Below are 22384 nucleotides of genomic sequence, written 5' to 3'. Positions count from 1 at the left end.
TCATCTGAACTCCATACTCTACCTACTTTATGCATAAAATGTAGAGCGGGTTTTTTTTGGAAAGTCAATATTGGCCCAAAATGCCTGACCATGAAATGTGTTTCATAAATAACACACACACACATTAAAAATTAAAATGATAACATTTTAAAAGAGTCGAAAATAATTTGACTCAACAATGAAGAGACTAGGCGAGCCCATGGCAGAACTCATTTCACAAAGTTGGGGAAACACACAGGGAAACTTCTAATCCCTAAAACATGATAATTTCCTATTGTCAAAGGCTGGAATAGCTTGGCAGCTTTGTAAGTTGGGTGATCCTGCTGTCTCCTGATACTGGTGTCACAACCTTTTGCTTTTCATCTCTACAGTCCTATAGTCTGGTAAAACTTTAAGTTTGAGAGTTCAACGCAGTGCTCAGAAGATATTTGTGGGATGAATTCATCACTCATATTCCAGTTTGGTTCTCTTTTTCTAATTGATGGAGATGAGGAGACTGGCAGGTATTTTCATCAAAGGGCTAAGATTATAACTTGTAAATAGGCTTATAGTTTCCAAAGGCACACAGCCACTTGTGCCACACAGCCAGTATCTGTTCTGTATTCATGAGCTTTACATCTGTGTTTATAATGTTTGTACCAATGGGCACACACAGAACTACCAATCTTTTGGCGGGCTAAGCGGCTACTTCTGTTCAAAGGAAAAAACTTGCTAAGTGGCTATTTTCTGATAAGGATGTCCACATGCAGTGGGTGTAGCAAACTGTGTAGGGCATAAAAGAGATAATGACAGGGAGCAGGCTAGTTCTGCCATGCCCAGATAGTGAGGATAGGAGGAGCTGATTCTGTATAGCCGGTCTAGCCTGGTTTGGTTATGGATTACTTTGGATCTTTCATTTCTCAGTGCTTTGCTTATTTTCCATGTCCATCTCTCTCTTTAACAAGGAAGTATTGTATGCAGTGAGAGCAAGAGCTCAAAGACTTGAGATTCTGGGTCTTATTTCTGGTCAGGTTAACAATATGAAATGCTCAGAAGTTTTAGGAAGATCATCTTCTTCTCCATCTCCAAAGTTGCATGCTGCGATCACAAAGGGAATGGGAGGCAGACATCTTTCCAAACACTGAGATCAGGTGGAATCTCTGGAATGTGATTTGGATGTATTTTGGAAATGTTGGGCTATTTTTAGTAGAAATGGGATAGGGAGTTGGGGAGAATAGTAAATCTGACTTGCAAAGAGTAGGTGTTTTTGGGAAGTCATAGCCTCTTCTTCATGTTACTTTTCAATTAAAGCCCTGCTAAATGTTAATGTGAATTGCTGGACTGTTATTAACAAAGCTGAAATTTATCATTAGAGACAATTCATCCTAAAGTTCTGCTGTCAGACCGGCATCAGGCTTCTCACAGTTGTGTGACTTTGGGCAAGTAGCTTAACTTCTGTGAGCTTCAGTTTCTTCATTTATAAAATGGAGAAGTGAAAATCACTCACAGGAGAGCACTGATGATGAAAGGAGGTATGTATGTCAGGCACTTAGCATGGTGCCTCACATGTTCTAAGTACTCACTAAACATGGTTGTTTCGTTGTTGGGGGTGATGGTATTCTACAAATGTCTGTTGTTGGGGATATAAATTCCTATTGTGTGTTGGGACCTGGTCCCTTCACACATAGGTGGATAATTCACAACTGAGGACGTGCATTTGCTGGCAGTCAAGGGTAACTATAATAATAAAGACAGGCTGGGCTTTCTAGCTCTCATTTTTTTTTTCTCCATGACTCCTGCTAAGCACTCTTGGAGATCATGGCCATCACATTCTTCGTGAAGATTCTCTACCCAGCCTGGGTGTACCATTTTGAGGATGGGTAGGTCCACTCTTGTTGGATCTCAACTGTAGCCTTTTTTTGTTGGGATTTGCTAAAGACCTGGCATATGTCACTTTTATAATTAAAAACAATTTGATAAAACACATTAGGGTGGCTGAAAGGAAATATCCCAAATTAACAATGGTCCTGTGTGAACATAGGCTAATGCACAGCTCTGTGCTGGGATGGGAGGCTGGTGGTGGTGATGGTGCTTAGAGAGTCCAGTCAGGAGAATGGGTAAATTCTGCATTGAGCACAGAATGGTTCAGGGCAAGGCACATGGGCTAATGCTTAGAGCAGGCGGTGACTATTGCTATGCTCCAAGCCTGGCAAGGGGTGTTGCCAAGGTGAGCAGGCAGCATTCCCGTCTGTTCACACCCACTCTTCTCTCCCAGTCGTGGTCCTCAGGTTGGCTTGACAGCGATGGCCTTTATTCAAAGAAAGCAGCCGCCAGAGCAAGACTAAAGCCTGTCCTAACCCTTGACAAAATGTCACACTCATGCCTTTTTTCCTACTACCGGAGACTAAGGGTTGTGATGGAAACAAGGGAGCTGCGATGGGGCTGTGACCAAGTGAAAATGAGAGAGTAAGGAATTTACTGCTTTGCTTGTTGTGAAGAATGGTGGCAAACATTCAAACATTGGTTTGGGTTTTTTTTTCCCCAGTGAAGTATAAAAACATCTTTTCCCCTTTTTATGGAGGGAAATGAGGGGGCAACAACATGACAGACCTTGAGTAGTAACTGCGTGACTGCTCTGCATCCTGCCCCAAGCATCTCTTCTGTAGACGTGTCTCAGGCATCACAGAAGAGATGTGGTTGCCTCTGCGTGTCTTCTCCTGGCCCTGTAAAAGCCTTGAGAAGCACAAAATATAGGCTATTTGTTTTCATCAGAAACCTGTCATCCAGGATTTACAGAATCTACACAGATGCCCAAAAAGGGCAAGATGGCCAGTACCCATGTAAACGCTGGATAGCCTATGTCTGATGATAAAAAGTTTCTACTTCTATATGTCTTCCCTCCCCCTTTTTTTTTGAGACAGGGTCTCATTCTGTCACCCAGGCTGGAGTGCAGTGGTGTGATCACAGCTCACTGCAGCCTCAGCCCCAGGCTCAAGTGATCCTCCCACCCCAGCCTCTCAAATAGCTGAGACTATAGGTGTGTGCCACCATGCCTGGCTAATTTTTTATTTTTTATAGAGACAGGGTCTCTCTGTTTCCCAGGCTGGTCTCAAACTCCTGGGTTCAAGTGGTCCTCCTGCTTTAGCCTCCCAAAGTGTTGGGAGCCACTGCATCCAGCCTATATGTCCCCATTTTTAAGTGCCACAAGTAGAGGGGGGTGTAGTTGCTATTTTATAATTGGAGAAACTGAGGCACAAAAGGGGCTAACAATTTGTTCTTCTGAGCTGTGGAAACAGCAGCAACCTTAGAGCAATGTTTGTAGACCACACAGATTCAGAGCCTGTATACTCCGTGTCTGACACGCTATTAAGGACTTTAAATACATTATCTCATTTGATCCAAACAGCAGTGCTGTGAGGTGATGACTATTACTAACTTCATCTTACAGATGAAGAAATAGAGGCTTACGGACTATAAGTAAATGGCCTAGGGCTCCCAGCTACTAAGTGGCTAAGTCCAGAGACATCCCCAGGCATTCTAACTCCAGATATACCTAACCACTACCCCCTACTGCCTGGTTCACGTCCCCGGATCAAAGTTACCTTAGTCTACTATTTCTGCCATGAAATCCCCTGCCTGCTACCCTCTGGCTCTTTCTGGAAACTGGCTCCAGCCCTTGCTGAACGAAGGAGTACTGCTACCATGTACTAGGAAACGAGATGTGGCGAGCATTTTAGAGTTGCTTGCAGACTATTTTAGCAATGACCACTCACTTCTCTGCACCTTTCAAATGACCTATGCTGGCTTATGTGTCCACCACCATGGCCCCGCACACGCGCCTTCCTGGAAATGGCAGGCACTTGGCAGCTCTTCTGCCCCTTGCTCTAGGCAAGCTCTTTGGAATCAGGCCACTTTAAGAAAGGAATGTGGTGGCAGTTACTTTGCAAGCAGCTCAGTGTGACTATTGGTAAGGCACTGACATGCCGTTCAGTGGAACTTCTGAGTAGCCCAGTTACTGTGCTCAGAACTGGGGGTGCTCTTGTCCCGGCTGCTTCCAGATAACATTTGCCGCGCTCTTTAACAGATATGAGGAGAGCGTTATCAAACTGCAACACCTTGGGGCACCTTCTGCAAGAAACCCTCTTCTGGTTCCATACGCGGGGGTTTCCCTTCTTTTGCAAATAGGTAAATGTGTGCTGTGTTAAAGAAAGACCCTTAAAAAATATATATATATATATGGGATGTCAGAGGGCAGCTGGGAGATTAGACGTAGACATTTCCCTCTGACTCTGCCACTGGTCTGTCCTGGGAACGTTACCCACAATGCTTTCCTATCTTCTCCATGTCTGTGTCGATTTGGGGGAAAAAGTGCTTGGCAATCCTCACAAGAAATGTGGATCTGACGCAGGCTAGAGACCCAGTGCATTCTGTGTTTTGAAATCTCAGGGCGTGGATTAGCTGTGACCCTGAAGAGCCTCCTGGGCCTCCAGTGCAGATCATCTTTCTTTCCTGTTGCCTTTCTTGATGCTCTTGTTGCCTGGTGTTGAGCTAGATGTGGAAGAATTCGTCTCAGATGATTTAAAAACTGTTTATAACCTTCCCACTCCTTTGATCTCCACATTCCTTCCTGCAGAGGGCTTGGGTCTGGCTGGGTTGACAGGGCAGTGATCACAGGAGGTAAGGGCAGGGGCTCTGACTCAGACTGCCTGCGTTTGAATCCTGGCTCTGTCATTTACAGGCTGATGTACTGGGGCAAGTCACTGAACCCTCTAAGCCTCAGTTTCCTGACCCATAAAATGGGGATAAGGAGAGTGGCTTGTACTCAGCGTTGTTCTGAGGAGTCAATGTAATGGGGTTTACAAAATCCAATGCCAGGCACAAGGTAAACTCTCAATAAATACACAATGACAATAGCTTCATAGCTGGAGAAATTTACTTTTAACTGGGTGAGGAAACTGGAGCACAGAGAAAAGCAGTTTTTCCAGCTGTGCCGATAAGAAATGTTTAAATTACCTTCCTGACTATAAGCTCCTTGAGGCTAAGGAACACATATATAACATCCCTTTGGGAAATATTTGGTTAATTAAATTGATGTTTATAATGGTACTGTCTTGTATGGCAATAGCAGCAAGTCGTACAGGCCCTATCCACCTCTCTGTCCTGTGGTCTCCTCCCTTGAGGACTCTGCTCTATTGCTGATCTCCCTTCTGTGTAGCCCAGTGTTGATCACATTGACAGACTCCAGAAGTAAGGAGCTCAGTAAGTGTGTGGGGATGGTGAAGGGATGGTGAAGAAAGGGCTCTGTGGGTCACAGCTCAGCCAGGTGAGGTGTGTGAATAGGTTCGCTCCTTCAGGTAGCAAGAGGCTTCTTAGAATAGCCTCATAGTTCTTTCTGGGAACTGGTCCACTGCAAGAATGAGTGCAGCTTTAATAATTCACTCCACAAGTTCTGAGGTTGCATCTTACATGATTTCTGGATTACGTATTTAACCATGCATTTGCGGCAGTCCTTGTAACTTTCAAGACTTTTGCTTTTTTAGTATTTATAAAAGATGCTTTGAGACCTTTAAAGCGTGAATCTAAACGAATGTCACAAAAAGTCTTTGCTCTCTTGGCTTTTGCTTTCATAAGCAGGAAAGGCTCAAATAAGGATGTTAGCCTCGTGGAGTATTCTCAATGGCCAGGAGAAAGGTGAGAAGTAGCTGATTCACTTGGAGGGATCCTAAGGTGGAAATGGACCATTGGCAGTCTTTCCCCATCTTCTGAAAAGGCACAGCTTTTCCTCTGAATGGGTACATCATGGAGCAGAGTATATAACAAACTCTCAGAAGACATGAGTTCAAGCGTTGGTTCTGCCAAGAAAGGAACTTGATCTCTAAGTCTTAGTTTGTTTAACTGAAACTGAAATTAATAGTACCTTTCCCACCTGTCTCACAGGGTCATAAGAGGATCAGGGAGAAATTGCAGGAGATAACTTTCTGATAGACATTGTTTACATAGACAATAAAGATCATCATTCCCTTTTATCAGCACCCAACTCAGATGCCATCTCTTCCATGAAGGCTTCTTTAATTTCTGTAGCTTAAAGTATTCTCTCTGCCTCTGAAATTCTATGGCACTTATTTATGCCTCTCTCTTGACACTTGCATAGCTCTATCTTGTTGTATCATTATTTGTACCACGTGTTAGGCTACCTCAGGAAAGAATTCATAAAATTCCATTATAGAACCTTGCTCAAGAAAACTCTTGCATTACTTAAAAATAAATTATAATAATTCTACATTTTTCTCATCAGAGCAGTTTATGGCAATGGGACTGCCAGGTGCTTCATAATTATTTGCTTTTAATCTTTTCATTTATGTTTATTTATAATTTTAGTTTTAATATGTTGCTTTTAGGTCTATCAAAGCATAATTTACATACAGTAAAATTCACTATTTTTAGTGTAAATTTCTATAGGTTTTGACAAATATATATACTTGTATCACCATCATCAAAATCAGCCTCCAAAATTCCCTCATGCTCCTTTCTGTCAACTCGTTTCCCCAACCCTACAATCCTAACCCCTGGCAACCACTGATTTATTTCCTGTCCCTATAGTTTTGCCTTTTCTAGGACAGCGTATGCATTTAATCAGACAGTGAGCAGCCTGTTGAGTCCAGCTTCTTTTGCTTAGCAGAATGCATCTGTGATACATTCATGTTGTGCATATATCAATTCTTGCCTTTTTACCACTGAGTAGTAGTCCGTTTTGTAAGTGTACCACAATCGGTTTATCTATTGTTTCCAATTTTTAGTCAGAATAAATAAAGCCACTATAAATATTTGCATAGAGGCTTTTATTTTTTGACAGAGTTTCACTCGTGTCGCCCAGGCTGGAGTGCAATGGTGCGATCTCGGCTCACTGCAACCTCTGCCTCCCGGGTTCAAGCAATTCTCCGCCTCAGCCTCCCCAGTAGCTAGGATTACAGGCACCCGCCACTACCCCAGGCTAATTTTTGTATTTTTGGTAGAGATGGGGTTCCACCATTTTGGTCAGGCTGGTCTCAAACTTCTTACCTCAGGTGATCCACCTGCGTCGGCCTCCCAGGTGCTGAGATTACAGATGTGAGTCACCACACCCAGCCCTAAATGTTTGCATAGAGGCTTTTATGTGAACATGTTTTCATTTCTCTCAGGTAATACCTGTCAATGCAATTGCTGAGTCATATGGTAAATATGGTATGTTTAATTTTATAAGAAACTGCAGAATTGTTTTTTTTTTAAAGCCGTTCTGATAGGTATAGAGTGGTGTCTAATTGTGGTTTTAATTTACATTTTCCTAATGACGAATGAATTTGAGCACACTTTCATGTGCTTATTTGCTATTATATTTCTTTTTTTGGTAAAGCGTCTGTACAAATCTTTTGCTCATTTTAAATTGAGATTTTTCTTATTGATGAGTTTTGAGTTTTTTATATATTCTGAATACAACTACTTTATCAGATACATGTTTTGCAAACATTCCAGCTAGTCCGTGGCTTGTATTTTCATACATTTTTAATTTTGATGGTCAAATTGATCAAATCTTTCTTTTATGATACCTGATCTTTTATGGATTATACTTTTAGTGTTTAAAATATTTTGCTTAACCGAATGCCACAAAGATTTTCTTCTGATTTTTTTTCTGGAAATTTTATGGCTGTAGGTTTTATATTTAGATCAATAATCCATTTTGAATTAATTTCTGTATATGGTATGTGGTATGGGTCAAGGTTCACTTTTTTTGCATATGGATGTCCAGTTGTTCCAGCGGAATTTGTTAAAAAGACTATCCTTTCTCCATCAAGTTGTTTTTGTACCTCTGTTGGAAATAATTGGCCATATATGTCAATCTATCTCTGGACTCTATTCCGTTGATATATATGTCTATCTTCTTGCCATACTATTCTATCTTGATGACTGTAGCTTTGTGGTAAGTCTTGAAATCAGGTAATGTAAGTCCTCCAGTTTTGTTCTTCTTTCAAAATGGCTTTGTCTATTCTATTTTCTTTGCCTTTCCATAGAAATTTTAAAAATCAGCTTGTTGGCCACGCGCGGTGGCTCACACCTGTAATCCCAGCACTTTGGGAGGCCAAGGTGGGTGGATCACCAGAGGTGATCCAGAGGTCAGGAGTTTGAGACCTGCCTGGCCAACATGGTGAAACTCTGTCTCTACTAAAAATACAAAAATTAGCCGGGCGTGGTGACAGACACCTGTAATTCTGCTACTTGGGAGCCTGAGGCAGGAGAATCGCTTGAACCTGGGAGGCAGAGGTTGCAGTGAGCTGAGATCGCACCACTGCACTCCAGCCTGGGCAACAAGAGCAAAACTCTGTCTTAAAAAAGTAAAAATAAAATAAAATAAATCAGCTTGTTGATTTCTCAAAAAAAGTTCTCCTGGGATTTTGACTGGCATTGCTTTGAATTTATAGATCAGTTTAGAGAGAAGTGACATCTTAACAATATTGATTCTTCCAATCCCTAGGCATGGTATATTTCCCTATTTATTTAGATCTTTGGTTTCTTTCTTTAATGTTTTTAGATCTTGCCCATATTGTCTTATATTTATAGGTAAGGATGTAATAGGCTGTAGGGTGCTGTTGTTGAGTAAATAGTTGAATTCATGAATAGATAAAAGTGTCAACCTACTTGTGAGTACTTGTCTTGATTCCATAATTAAATACAAGATGCTAGAATAGGGTTGGAAAATTTATCAAATCTCTTGGTTATGAAGAGGCCAGCAATGAGACTAAGAGGTCTGAGCCTCCAAGAGACAGGAAATCTGGGCTTCATTCTGACACCCTCCCCACCACTTTCTTTAACCTTGGACAGCTTCTTCTCCCTGCCAAGGGTCTGCCTCTTAGCACAAGTTGTACATTGAGAAGTTTGCATCTTTCAGGGATTCTCTGGGCAGAGCTCATTATCTCTGTAGCTGCAATAGACAGTTGCCTTTCTTGCATGATTTGAAGGTGCTGAATAGCCTGTCTGACCAGCCGTTTCTCACCCATTGGCCTGGTTTGGCTCCTAAATTTCCTCTCTCAAAAGACATACCTCCTTTGAGTAATGTATTATATTTCCATAGGCCTTTATTCAGATGTGTTCCCTGAGAGGGATACTCTGGCTCCTTAGGAAGGTGGATAGTTACATCTGTTCCATCCAATTAACATGTACTAATTGAGTACCTACCATGTGCAAGGCACTTTTAAGACCTCCAGGGTGAGAATGGCATCCTTCCCTTCAAGGAGTTTACAACGAAAGGAAATTAGGTTGTCAAAGTCAAGTTTGTTTCGAAGTAGGATGGCCGCTAGGTCTGAAGGAGCACTGCTTGGGTCATTCAACTTGGAGGTTAGGAGTGCAGGGATGCTTGAGGCAGGGACAAAGGAGAAAGAGGGTCACAGAAGGGGCAATGGGGAAATGACAATAAACCCCACCGACCGTACCCTTTTTTTTGTTTTGCCTTGACAGCGTATTGAGCAGACCCACAAACTCAGTACCGAGAGACACTGCATGTTATTTGTAAATAATACCCTGGGGCAATCTGGTACTATACAGTTTATACATTATTTTCATATAACTTCATTTAATCTGTGCAGCAGCTTTATGTGTTAGGTGGCGAGTGTATTAATTAGGGCACCCTAACTGCTCCAGTAAAGAACTCCAAAATGAAATTTTATTTTTTGCCCAAATCATAGGTTAGTAAATCAGTGTAAATAGAGGGGGAGGCTACGCTCCCAACAGTCATCCAGGACATTTGGTTCCTTCCACCTTATGGCCCCATCCTCTAGGTCCTAGGAATTTAGAGCAAAGAGTAAGAATTATGGGGAAGATTTTATGGCTAAGGCCTTGAAGTGGTGCACATCATTTCTGCTCATTCGACCTCACAGCCTCACCTAACCACAAAGGCAACTGGAAGATGTCTCCAAGCTGTGTGTGCAGAAAGCAGAATATTGATACTGGTAGACCCCACCAGTCTCTCCCACAGTAGCACGGGATGTTCCCCTCCTTTTACAGGTAGGGAAACTGAGATACAGAGTCATTAAGTGAACTATAGAAGAACACATCACTGCTAAGTAGGACAGGATTTCAACTTAGGTCTTCTGCTTAGATAGAATGGGAATAATAATGGCAGTAATAACAATAATATCTAACAGTTTGTGAGTGTGGGTGGGTATTCAATGGAACAATATACATAAAGGCCTTAGTATGTTCCAGATTCCCTTTCTAGCTCTGAGCTCTGCCACACAATCCTATAAAGAGCCAAATATCCCTCCTGAGCAGCAGAGCGACAGCAGGAGCTGGTAACTAGTGGCTGCCTGTCAGCAGAGCCCAGCACAGGGCTGAATCGACTCTAGTGGTAGAGTGCTGCTCTCCCTGCAGACCTGGGAGATTGTGCATACCAAGAACTGACTCTGGGCTGGGTGAGGTGGCTCACTCCTGTATTCCCAGCACTTTGGGAGGCCGAGGTGGGCAGATCATCTGAGGTCAGGAGTTCGAGACCAGCCTGACCAACATAGTGAAACCCCGTCTCTATTAAAAATACAAAAACTAGCCGGACAAGGTGGCGAGTGCCTGTAATCCCAGCTACTCAGGAGGCTGAGGCAGAATTGTTTGAACCCAAGAGGCGGAGGTTTCAGTGAGCAGAGATTGCACCACTGAACTCCAGCCTGGAAGACAGGGCAAGACTCTGTCTCAAAAAAAGAGAATGGACTCTACAGGGCCTGAAGAAGCTGGACTTAATTTTGCTCAATACCAAAGCTGCCTCTTGCAGGCACGTTCCCAAATGTTCCCAGAGGACAGCCCCACTGAGTCAGGCTAGGCATGCCGGCCAGGGATGAGAAAACCTCTAGCCAGCACCTGTTCCCTCAGGAGTCCTTGTGGGCCCAAGCAACTTTTAAAAGATGAATTTTCACTTAATTCTTTTGAAAGCTCTAACATGGATGAATAAATAAATTGGCACCCATAACTTATATATTATTTATAGGTTAGACTTTTAAAATAGCTCTTTTTGTTTGTGAGGCAAATATGTATGGATGGAAACCATTCTAAGACTGACATTTCTGTGACACGAGAAAGAAACTATAAAAGACTTCTCAACTAAGTAAGGTAGGGCTTCCCTGTCTGGAAGAGTTCTGCATGTGAAGCTGCTGCTTTTATCAATTTTTTTGGGTGAGGAAATTGAGGCATGGGTTGAGTCAAAGCTGTTCTAAAGGATTTCAAGATTTGTAGAGATTCGGGCCAGGCACGGTGGCTCATGCCTGTAATCCCAGCACTTTGGGAGACCAAGGTGGGTGGATTGCTTAAGTCAGGAATTCCAGACCAGCCTGGCCAACATGGTGAAACACCGCCTCTACAAAACATACAAAAATTAGCCAAGTGTAGTGGCATGTACCTATAGTCCCAGACGCTTGGGAGGCTGAGGTGGGAGAACTGTTTTAGCCTGGGAGGCAGGGATTGCAGTGAGTAGAGATCATGCCACTGCACTCCAGCCCGGACAACAGGATTGAAACGATGTCTAAAAAAAAAAAAAAAGATTTGTAGAGTTGGTAGGAGTTTGGGCCCTGTTGCCACTGCCCATCCCTTTTGCCACACAGTCTAGCAGGAGAGGAAGAGGTGGTTAACAATGTGTGGTTGAGCGTGGCACGGTGGCTCACAACTGTAATCCCAGCACTTTGGGAGGCTGAGGCAGGTGGATCATCTGAGGTCAGGAGTTTGAGACCAGCCTGACCAATATGGTGAAACCCCATCTCTACTAAAAATAGAAAAATTAGCCAGGAATGGTGGCATCCACCTGTAGTCCCAGCTACTTGGGAGGCTGAGACAAGAGAATCACTTGAACCTGGAAGGCGGAGGTTGCAGTGAGCCGAGATAGCGCCACTGCACTCCAGCCTGGGTGACAGAGTGAGACTCCGTTTTAAAAAAGAAACAAAAAACAAAAAACAATGTGTGGTTGAGGCAGAAGGAGTGACAGGGACAATGTCAGGGCATTGATGATGAATTCACGGTGCTACTGCAACATGCTATGCTTCCAACCTTCTCACCACCTTGACCTCCAAATGGGCCTCCACATGGTGTGTCCTCGGTGGGAACTGCTTTTATCCTCTTAAGGAGCAGCACTCTGCATTTCTCAGTTCTCATCCATTTATTCAACAAACGATCTTTAGCTTATTTCATGTACCTGGCATTATGCTGGGCTGTTGGGATAAGAAGAATGAATATGGATGGTCCCTGACCTCAGGTAGCTTACAGTCTGGGAGAGACAGAGAACTAGATTATGATGCTACAGTATGGCAAGTGCATTGATGAAGATGAGCATGAGAGTGATGGGAACACAAAAGAAACACCCCACCTCCACCTACTGCAGGGGATGGTGGTAGACGTGGGAGGTTTCTTTTCTTTTTTTTTTTTTTGAGATGGACTCTTGCTCTGTCACCCAGGCTGGGTACAAAGGCCCAATCTTGGCTCACTGCAACCTCTGCCTCCCAGGTTCAAGTAATTCTCCCACCTCTGCCTTCCTGAGTAGCTGGGACTACAGGTGTGCGCCACCATGCCCAGCTAATTTTTGTATTTTTAGTAGAGCCTCTGTTTCACCATGTTGGCCAGCCTGGTCTCGAACTGCCAACCTCAGGTGATCCACCCGCTTCGGACTCCCAAAGTGCTCGGATTATGGGCGTGAGCCACCGCGCCCAGCAGAGGTGGGAGGTTTCTTGAAGGAAATGAGGCTGGGCTGAGTTCTGACAGAGAAGAAGTTATTCTGTAAAGGAGCGAGGATTTTTCGGGCTTAGGAAACAGCATGTGCAAAGAACATGTCCAGAGAGAGCCGGGGACCTGAATGGAGTTCCTATGGCTAGATGTAGTATTGGAGAAGCTGGGGGGAAGGATTGGATGGAAATAGTAATCAGGGAGGGACTAGATCACAAAGGGCTTTGTCTGTGATTTATTATGGGTTTTAAACTTCCTTCTGAGATAGAGAAGAGCTGTTAAAGTACGTAAGTGATGTCGTCTTTGTATTCTAGGATGGCCTGTCTGGCCTCAGTGTAGAAAATGGGCTAGTTTAGTAGGCCAAAGAGCAAATATAGATACAAAGACCAGCAGAAACCACTAGACTTGAGAAGGCAGTGGCCAGAAGTGTGGGGAGCGGTGGAGATAGAGAAGAACAGAGATTGGAGAGATAGCAAAGGGGCTGGTGTGATGAGAGGGAAGAAGGGCATGGAGCATGATCTGAGGTTTTGGTTTGGGCCGCTGGGATGTTGACAGATAGGAAGCATGGCAGGAAAAATGGGAAAAGGATGAGGATAGATTCCACTGGGGGTTAGGGTGAACATGAGGGGCTTGTGGGCCTTCTTAGGTGGATGTTCTGAAGGCAGTTGGACACGATGGGTTCAGAAGATTTGAAAGTCATTAGCATAAGATGGTAATTCAAGTCATGGGAGTGAAGAAAATAGCCTAGGAACAGTGTGTAGACAGAGGAAGAAGTGGAGGGGCCCAGGAGATAACTTGGGAGCATCACTATTTAAGAGACAGGCCAAGGAAGAGTAGCCCACAGAGCAGGCAAAGGAGGAAGGGCCACAAAGTTAAGAAGGGAACAAGGAGCGTGTCTTGGAAGACAAAGGAAATGATTTCAGAAAATTTTGGAATGGCCAACAGAGCCTAATGATGCTAAGTAAGATAAGACCTGAAAAGCATCTCCTGCTTTAAGTAACAAGGAAGGGAGGTATCAGTGACTTTTGGCAAGAATAGCTTCATGGAGTGAGGGCGGAAGCCAGATTTCAGTGAGTTGAGTGACTTGAGGATGGGATGAAGAAGCTAGAAGCTACCATGAATATAGATAAGTACACTGTATCTATGTTTATCTCTGGAGAGGAGGGCTGAGGTCATCATACTTCTCAGTTCATCATCATTTTCCAGCCAAGGCCCTTCTCTGTGGTTGGTTGATGGATTGATTTCCTTTTATTTCCATTTTCCTTTTCTATTCCCTTCACTCCACCTAAAAACAACCATTTTTATGTGTTTAAGAGTTTTCCTTTAATTTGCATATGTCCTTGTATGGGTATTGGCTTACATGCATATATTTTTTAATTATGTAAATGATGTTATAGATCTCATTCTGTTTCCTGTGTATTTTGTTCAGCACTGTTTCTATGATCCTCCAGCATTGCCATGTGCCCTCCACGTGTTCATTCACTGCATTTTACCTGTCCCTGCCCCAGTGGTGGACGCACAGGTTATTTCCACCTCCCCGCCACCACAATCAATGCCTCAGTAAACATTCTTGCATATGTCCCCTTCTAGGCCCGTGTGAGCAGAGCCACACTTAGCCTGCCTGAGTCCTGGCAGACAGCCCGCCAGAATGGCTGGGCCAGTCCACACTCCCACCAGTAGTGCACAGGGCAGCCCCTTTCCACATCAGCATCTATATTCAGCATGACCCAGCTTGCTAATGTTTGCCTGTGGGGTCTCCTTGTTTTAATCTGCATTTCTCAGGTTACTCATGGGCTTGAGTATCTCTTCTTAGGGTTTTAGCTTTTTAGGTTTTCACTACTATGAATTACCCGTTCATGTCCTTGGCAACTTTGTCAATAATTTTGGCTCTGAAAGAAAGGAGAGAGAAGATGGTAAGAAGGAGTTTTGCTGAAGATAGGAAAGACTTGTGCATGTTAAAGTGAAGGCGGAAAAGAGAAAAAGCTAGAGATTCATGTTTCTCCCAGGATTTGAGGAATGGGCAGCAGGAAGGAATGCAAAGATCTGACCTCCCTTGGCAGTGACAGTGAGGTTGGTGGGGAGGAAGTGGCAGTGAGGTTGGTGGAGAGGAAGTGAGACTGAGGAGGGGGAGTTGGTGCATGGGTCACCACCAGCTTTCCCTGAGCCCATCTTGCCTGCCCCCTCCACTTGAGGGGGAAAAGAAGCAGTGGGGGATCTATGGGGTTGGATAGGAGGGAAAAGGCAACCTCACTCAGATTCTGAGAACATGTTATACATGTGTTTCTAAATATTTGAAAATTGTATTTGTTTTAAATTTTAAGGGGATGGGAGAGGTAGCTAAAATATCAGGGTATGGGATGTGACATAAATAAAGTTGTCAAGGCACATGACACCATGGTGGGGACAGGGGCCATGTGAACCCTCCTGACTAGAGCAGAGTTCACATAAAAGAGAGTGTGAGCTCAGCACCAAATGGTGCAGGGCTTAGAATTGGACTGTACTGCTGAAAGCTTACAGGGTAGGGGTGTGTCAGCATGAGGGGCCGTGCAGGAGGGACTGTGAAGGGGCTGAGCACGGACAGAGATGGACCAAGTGGGAAGAGATGAGGGCCTGAGTGAAGTAGAGCTTTAAAACATAAAGAAATGACGAACAAAAGACCCTTTCAGAGGCTTAATGACTGACCTTGGTGATGAATAAATATTGAATAAACACTCAATACATGTACATGGGATAACTGAGTGCGTGGGTCAGGGAATATGGTGGGATAGAGGGCTTTAAAAAGGCTCCAGAAGGCAGAGGTTGCAGTGAGCCAAGATCGTGCCACTGCACTCCAGCATGAGCAACAAGAGTGAAATTCCATCTCAAAAAATAAAATAAAATAATAATAATAATAATAATAATAATAATAATAATAATAATAATAAGACTCCAGAGTTTGAGATCAGGTCTGTAGGAACAGGATAATATTTATTGAGTACCTACTAAGTCCCAGGCCCAGTACTAGGCACTGGAGTACAATAATGAAAAAGGCAGACATGGCTGATGCCTATAAGGAGCCTGTGGTCTAGGCACTGAGAGGAAAAGAAAAAAAAAAGAGGAAACAGACAGATACATGAATAATTACAATTATGATAAGTTCTATAGAGTTAAGCAGAGTGTCAAAAAGACTGAGGCTAACAGAGCGGGGAGCTACCTTAGAGAGGGTGACCAGGGAGGACTTCCACAAGGAAGCGACATCTGAGAAGAGATCTGAGGAATGAGAAGGAGCCAGACATGCAGAGATGCTCCAGGAAGTGTCTGGGGCAGAGGGCATGGCATGCACAAGACCCCTGAGCTGGGGAGGACATTTCAAGTTTGAAGAACTGAAAGAAGGCTGGCAGGTTACCTATAGGGGGTGTGGGGAGATGATCTTGGAGAAAATGGGAAGGGCCTTAGGACCATGGGAAGGGGTTGACTTTTATTCTAGGTTCCAGTTGTGCCTAAGGCATATGACTGTATTTTACAAGTTTAATTTATTATTAATTGCCAATTTTATCAAAGTTTTTATTATACAAAATTTCAAGCGTGTATAAAAGTAGAATAGAATCAAGAACCCCCATAAGTAGATCACTCCAAGTCAATAAGCTGCTTCTTATTTTGCTGAAGCACATTTAAGCAAATCCCAGACATCATGTCTTGTCCCCCACTACCTTTTTGAGCATTGCAAAACAAAAATTCATTTTCTTACATAACCATAATGCCATGATCACATCTAACACAATTGACTAATTCCTAGGTACCAATCAATATTGAGTCTGTAATTCAGATACCCCTGATTGCCTCAAAAATGTGGTTTTTTAAATTCAAGATCCAAACAAGGTGCATTATATTTGATTATTACATCTCCTGAGTCTCTCTTGATTTACAGCAGTCCTCACTCTCTGCCTCTTTTTTGTCTGTTTTAAAGCCTCTAACTTGTTGAAGAAGCTGAGTCAGTTGTCTGCAGAATGCCCTACATTCTGGGTTTGTTTCTTTGCTTCCTCAAGTTGTTATTTATCTTGATTTCCTGTAATTCCTATAAATGGGAAATTAGCTCTAAAGCTTAATTATTAATAAATTCAGGTTCAACTTTTTTGGCAAGAACGTCATAGGTCATGATGTCCTTCATGTTGCACCATGTCAGGAGACACATGTGTCTAATTGTCCTGTTCTTGGTGATACTAAGATTGATCAGTGAGTTCAGTTGTTGAAAACTTGATCCCTCCATTGTAAAGTTCACCCATCAACCCATTATCTGATGGGTTTTTAAAATCTTTTCTGAATCAGTTATTACATTATAAATATCACTTCAGTGATGATGTCAAATAAATTATTCCAGTCTATTCTTGACTATTTTCAATGTTGAGACCTCACTACAATGTTGAGACCTCTACCTACCTCCTGCAGTTTTCATCAAAGAAGTGAGAAGTTACTATAGATATTCTACAAAAGTCCTCATGGAATAAGGGAAATTGGGCATCCAGCTTTTCAACTCAACTGCCATAAAATGTTACTTATTCTGAGAGAGGCCAGTGGCTATCTTGAAAGAAGTGAGTTGAGAGAGATAAGAGGAGGTAGGACTGGGTCACAAGTTTCTGTAAATGTAGATATTAAGCCCAAGAATCCCAATAGAGGATAATATTTGAAAACTATTAGGTTGCTACAAAAGTAATTGTGGTTTTTACCATTAAAAGTAATGGCAAAACCCACAATTACTTTTGTACCAACCTGATATGTATATGAGTATCATCTCTCCCCTCTCCTTTAATGGTTCCCAGTGGACATTTGCCTCTGTGCAGGATGTGAAGTGCTGATAGATACTGTTGTTATGATAGAAGGCTGATGGGCCAGTCCCTACATCAGAGCTGAGTAGCACCTGTTCCCCAACCAAATCCTGTAAGAACTATTGGAGCTATGATCCCATCCACCCCCACCCCTATTCCAGCAGCTGCAGCATAACTGGAGCCAGTTCTTGGTAGGAGATTTTTCCATGATGAGAGTGGACAAGTTGCGGCATGTAAAGCCCCTGCCGGGTGACAGAAACTGGAGTAGAAGTGTCTGGTAAAGGCCTCACCAAACAGCAGTCGACCAGAATGACCAGGATATTGCAGATGCATGGAGATCCCTAAGTAGCAACCATGGGTAGTAATCTTGGGACTTTAAGCACCCCAAACCATAGTCCATCAGTGATGCACTAATAGCCAGACTTGGTTGGGATGGGAGCTGTAGTGTGAAAAAGCAGAATGTGCTCTGGGGAGGGGAAGTGGCTTGTCCAGGAACTGCTGGTGGTGTCCATCGACTGGAAAGGTCACCCATAGGTGGCATGCTTATCTGGGCCACATCGTTACCCCATGGTACTGAAACTCCCTGGTTCTGCTGTCCTGGTAGCCCCATGCTCAGTCTTAGCCATATTGAGACTGAGCTGTAATTTCTAGGTGGAAATGTCTGGTAGGCAGATGGAGGTGCCAGACTAGAGCTTGAGAGTAGGGAGGAGGTTAGGGCTGCAGATAGATTTAGAGTAAGTATTCTGCACTGCACGTCTTATTGCTTCTCATTCTAGTGAGTGTGTGCACATGTGTTTTTGTGTATTTGACTATTCTTTAAGGTACCTGTGAATGTGCAATGCGATTATGATCAGAGGGAGAGGAAGGATGTTCCTTTTTTGGTGATGGATTGACAGAAAAATTACCAGAGAAACTTCAGGATTTAATCTCCTGACCGGGTTGCCACAATACCAAATTGTTAAAAGCAGGTTTGAGGTAGCATAAAGGGGCAGGACAAACTAGAAAACAGGTGAGGGGGTCAAACCTTACAGCTAGAGAGAAGATAACAATACAGTGGAAGGAGCAATACTGTTTAAGAAAGACAGTGTCCTTGCTATTTCAACAGCCTGCTCCTCAGCCCTGCGTTGCCCTGTATTCCCCCGGTTTCCCACTTCGGAAGTAGATCTTTGTGCTTTGTTGCTTCTCACTTTTGTATGACCCAGGGAAGAGGAGAGGATGCTGTTTACTTTGTTGGGGGACTAGAGGATGGAGAAAAGAGAACAGCTGCCTCTTCTGCTCGGGGCTTCGGCGAGGGCTGACATGGGTCCTAGCTTGGGCTCCGTCAGCACCCTGCAGGCTGGGAGAGGAGCTGCTACCACTGCTTTCTCAGTTCTTAACCAACCCAGGGAGTAACTGGACATAGCACATGAGGTTGAGGCTCTGAGCCTAGCATCGGACCTCAAAGGCGGATGTGAAGGTTGGAGCTGTGGGTTGCATCAGTGGTATTGTGAAATGCATTAATAAGTACATGTTCCTTCTGTGAGCTGAGTCCTCTGTGTGATCCCATGAGGTTTTCAGTGCTGAGCTGTGGGCAAGCCTTCTCAGGTCCCATCCTACTCAAAATATAGCCTGGGGTCGGTGGTGGCAGAAGGCAGGTAAGGATGACTCTGGACTGTGCATTTAGAGCTGCTAGACGGGCAGGTGGATGGATGGATGGGGCAGGTGGACCTCTCTGGGCACAGAGTCACGGAGACCAGAGAAGACCCACCTACACTTTGACGAGGGTCAGGTGGGTTCAGAGAAGGAATTTTGGGGGACTTGTGGGTAAGCCAGGGAATGAATGGACAAGGAAGTACTTATGCCTTTTTTCCTGGGTTTACTGATGGGCCTGAAGTGCAATTTAAGATCTAATTTTAGCCATGTATTTGCGGTCCTCCGTGACTCATGGAAGGCCACTCTAGATGTGCAGATGACTTATATCTTTGAAAATGAGACCAGATCATCTCATCTCTAAGTTCCTCCCAGGTAGCAACTTAAATGTCATTTCCATGACTCCCCATTCAATTAGGTGTCCCCACCATGAGCCCCAACATATGCTGTTTTTTTCAGTCATGGTCATCTCTTTATAGCCAGGCCTTTGAAGGGCCGTTGTAACAGTATGGAAAGAGACATGGTGACGCCGAGAATGGGTTAAATCTGGTTTTGGACAGGCATATCTTCGTGTTTGCTTTTTGTTAACTATCTGTAGCTTTCCTGTTCTCTTATTTATTTCCTTCCTGCCTCTTACACCTGATTCTCCGAGAGCTTCCCTTCCTGCATGCACTGGCCCATCCCATGACCCCCTTGACTCTGATGGAATGCCATCTGGGCAGGGCCTGGGGTGGGCATGGCAGGGGAAGAGGGCACAAGGAAAGGGGCCTCACTTTCATTTCTGAATCATCTTTCCTTGGTGTTTGTTTTCAGGGACCTGACTCTTTCCAAAACAAAAACAAAAACAAAAACCCTCCAGCTGTATATTTAGACACACATATACATCTCTTCCCATTCCTGGCAGAGCTGCTGCCCGGCTGCTGCCTTCTCTGAGCCATGGCCACAGGAGGGATGGCATTTTTAAGCAGGATGAATTGCTGTCGAGCCGCTGCTCTTCTGCACCCGGGGCCATCAATCTTGTCTTGAACGCTGGGCCTGCTGGTCGGCCTGCTCAGGCTCATCTTTCTGGGGCAGACTTATTTACGGAGCCATGGCAAAGGTAATCTCACTCTCCAGCCCCACGGCCCAGGCCTCTCTCAGCCACTCTTAAAAATAGCCCAGGACGAATCAGGAGAGCCAGGGTCCGGTTACTTCCTGCACTCAGGGTCTGATCTCACCTCACCTCCTGCGTCTGGCAGCTCAGCCCTTCTCAGGGGCTGCTGGACAGGCTTGTGGCCCTGCAGGAGGTGGTCAGCCTGTCAGTCCCTCTCTGGCTCAGAGACCAAGTCAGTGGTAGTTTCCCTTAAGGGAAATAGAGAAAGGTGTGGGGCCGGGGGTGGGGGGTATCTTTCCCGGCTATCGTTGCCCAGCCAGTTGGGTGCGAAATCTCAGTCCTGGAAGCAGCAAGTCCATCTGCAGAAGAGGACAGGCTGTTCAAAGGCACAAGGGTGGTCTTGGGCACAGGTCTGGCATCATGGGGCATCCTGTGTTCGGGATGATGACTGGTTTTCCCACCTTGCACCTTCCCTTCTCTTGAGTGGCAAACACTTTTGCTAAGCCCTGGCTGGGAAATGCCCTCTGTCCCCATGCACCATGTCCTTTCCCCACCTGCCCTCCTGAAACCCTTCTGATTGAGGGGAACAAACTGTGCTCCAGTCCTTTCCCCAGCTGCCCTCCTGAAACCTGTCCGATCAAGGGGGATAAACTGTGCTCCAGTCCTTTCCCCACCTGCCCTCCTGAAACCCGTCTGGTCAAGGGGGATAAACTGCGCTCCAGTTTGGCCTTTGGTCCCAGCCGCAGTCATTCCACCGGATGACCCTGGGGAGGCCTCCTCCTGCAGCAGGCCTTGGTTTTTCTCCCAAGGCAATTAGGGTGGGTAATCCTGGCTCCTATCTTACCTCACAAGGATGTGGTGGGATGGATTCATCAGGTTGGGGAAAATGCAGTCTGAAGTGAGTCTGTATCTGAAAAATAAGGCTGTAGCCCTGCTGCCATCTCACACTTGGGCTGGTGAATGTGCTTCAGTGCCTCCGTGATCATGTGCCTGGTGGATGTGCATGTGTGTGCTGGTGTGTGTCAGTGTGTCAGATATGAGCCTGTGTGTGTGCCGTGGGTGCACACACCCACAGAGGGAGTGGTCTCCCTCACAGCTCACTGGCTGTCAACCCCCATCACAGGTCTGCCTCACAGCCTCCCTGCCTCCCGCTTTGCTCTCTTGGTTGTGAAGGCTCTGGGTCCCCTATTCTCTTACAGACTTGATCTTGGAGTCCCTTAAGATCCCTAGAAAGAGGACCAAATGTCAGGTACAGATGAAGAAAGCTAATAGTTTTCCTAGGGTCCAGGGCATTGAAGACCAAGCCTGGCTCCCCTGGCCCCCTCCTCACTTTTCTCCCCTGACTCCACCCCTGCCTTCCCGTTACTTCTTAAAGTTCTCAAAGCTTTCTGTGTTCTTTCTTACCTTCAGGACTTTACACCTACTCTTTATTCCCTTTGCTTGGACTCTTGTCCTTTCCCACCTGTCCCTTCATGGGTACCTCCAAGCTTCCTTTAGGAATAAGCTTCAACTTCCCCTCCCTGATACCAGTCCCCGCCGAGTCCCCACCTAAGCCAGCCATGACACACATCACACCTTCTTGTAGTTGCTTGTTTAATTGTGTGTCTCTGCCACCAGATTCCAAGCTCTGTGAGGACATGACTTTCCTGTCTTACTTGCCCCTGCCTAGTACAGTGCCTGCCACCTAGTTGGAGCTTGGTACATATTTGAATTAACTGTAAATGAATGAATGAGTGAGTAGGAATGACTGATGACGGGTGAGGGAGGACCCAGTGCTCCTGATGCGCTGGTTCATCACATGGACTCACAATGCACGGTTCCATTGTCCATGGGATGCCCCGACTGCCACGTGCTTGATGGGACAGCAGGCTCCTTTGGGTTGCTCAGTCTGTCCTGGAATTCAACAGGAGACCTCATCTGAGCACCTGGTCATGCTCCAAAGAAGCCCTAAAATGCGAGGTCAGCTTTCTGAATACCAACTGCTGGGAAGGAACTCAGAGGGCTCTCAGAAAGCCTCCGGGAGGAGTGAAGTCCCCCCAGTGCAGCTGCCCCGGGCTGGTGGCGTCAGTGGCGGCTTAACTCTCTCATCCATCTCTCCCCATGGTTCCCATATGGGTCAGACTCAGCCTGTTTCCAGCCTCTCCCTTCCCCTGGCCTGTCC

General features: G+C 44.9%; 1 protein-coding gene across 7 annotated transcripts in view, besides 1 other annotated feature; it reads left to right on the top strand.

The window, feature by feature from the left end:
- Window positions 1-22384, top strand: part of SPTB (spectrin beta, erythrocytic) — a 133625-nt gene that overhangs the window by 33950 nt on the left and 77291 nt on the right. The window contains exon 1 of one of the 7 annotated variants that reach the window (XM_047431725.1): window positions 19027-20229. The exons of the other annotated variants lie outside the window; for them this stretch is intronic. The gene's annotated coding sequence lies outside the window, so the exon portion shown is untranslated. Of the gene's footprint in view, window positions 1-19026; window positions 20230-22384 lie in introns of those variants that run through there. 7 annotated transcript variants of the gene reach the window in all.
- Window positions 14080-14579: an enhancer, noted in NCBI's record as "H3K4me1 hESC enhancer chr14:65298097-65298596 (GRCh37/hg19 assembly coordinates)". NCBI's record gives its function as "activates a minimal SCP1, AML or CMV promoter by ChIP-STARR-seq in primed H9 embryonic stem cells {active_cell/tissue: H9 hESC(primed)}" and the evidence as "EXISTENCE:reporter gene assay evidence [ECO:0000049][PMID:30033119]".

This window comes from Homo sapiens, chromosome 14 (genome assembly GCF_000001405.40).
Source record: "Homo sapiens chromosome 14, GRCh38.p14 Primary Assembly".
In the NCBI taxonomy this organism is placed as follows: domain Eukaryota; kingdom Metazoa; phylum Chordata; class Mammalia; order Primates; family Hominidae; genus Homo; species Homo sapiens.
The sequence above is the reverse complement of the archived record's forward strand: the minus strand, read 5'-3'. Positions and strand labels throughout refer to the sequence as shown.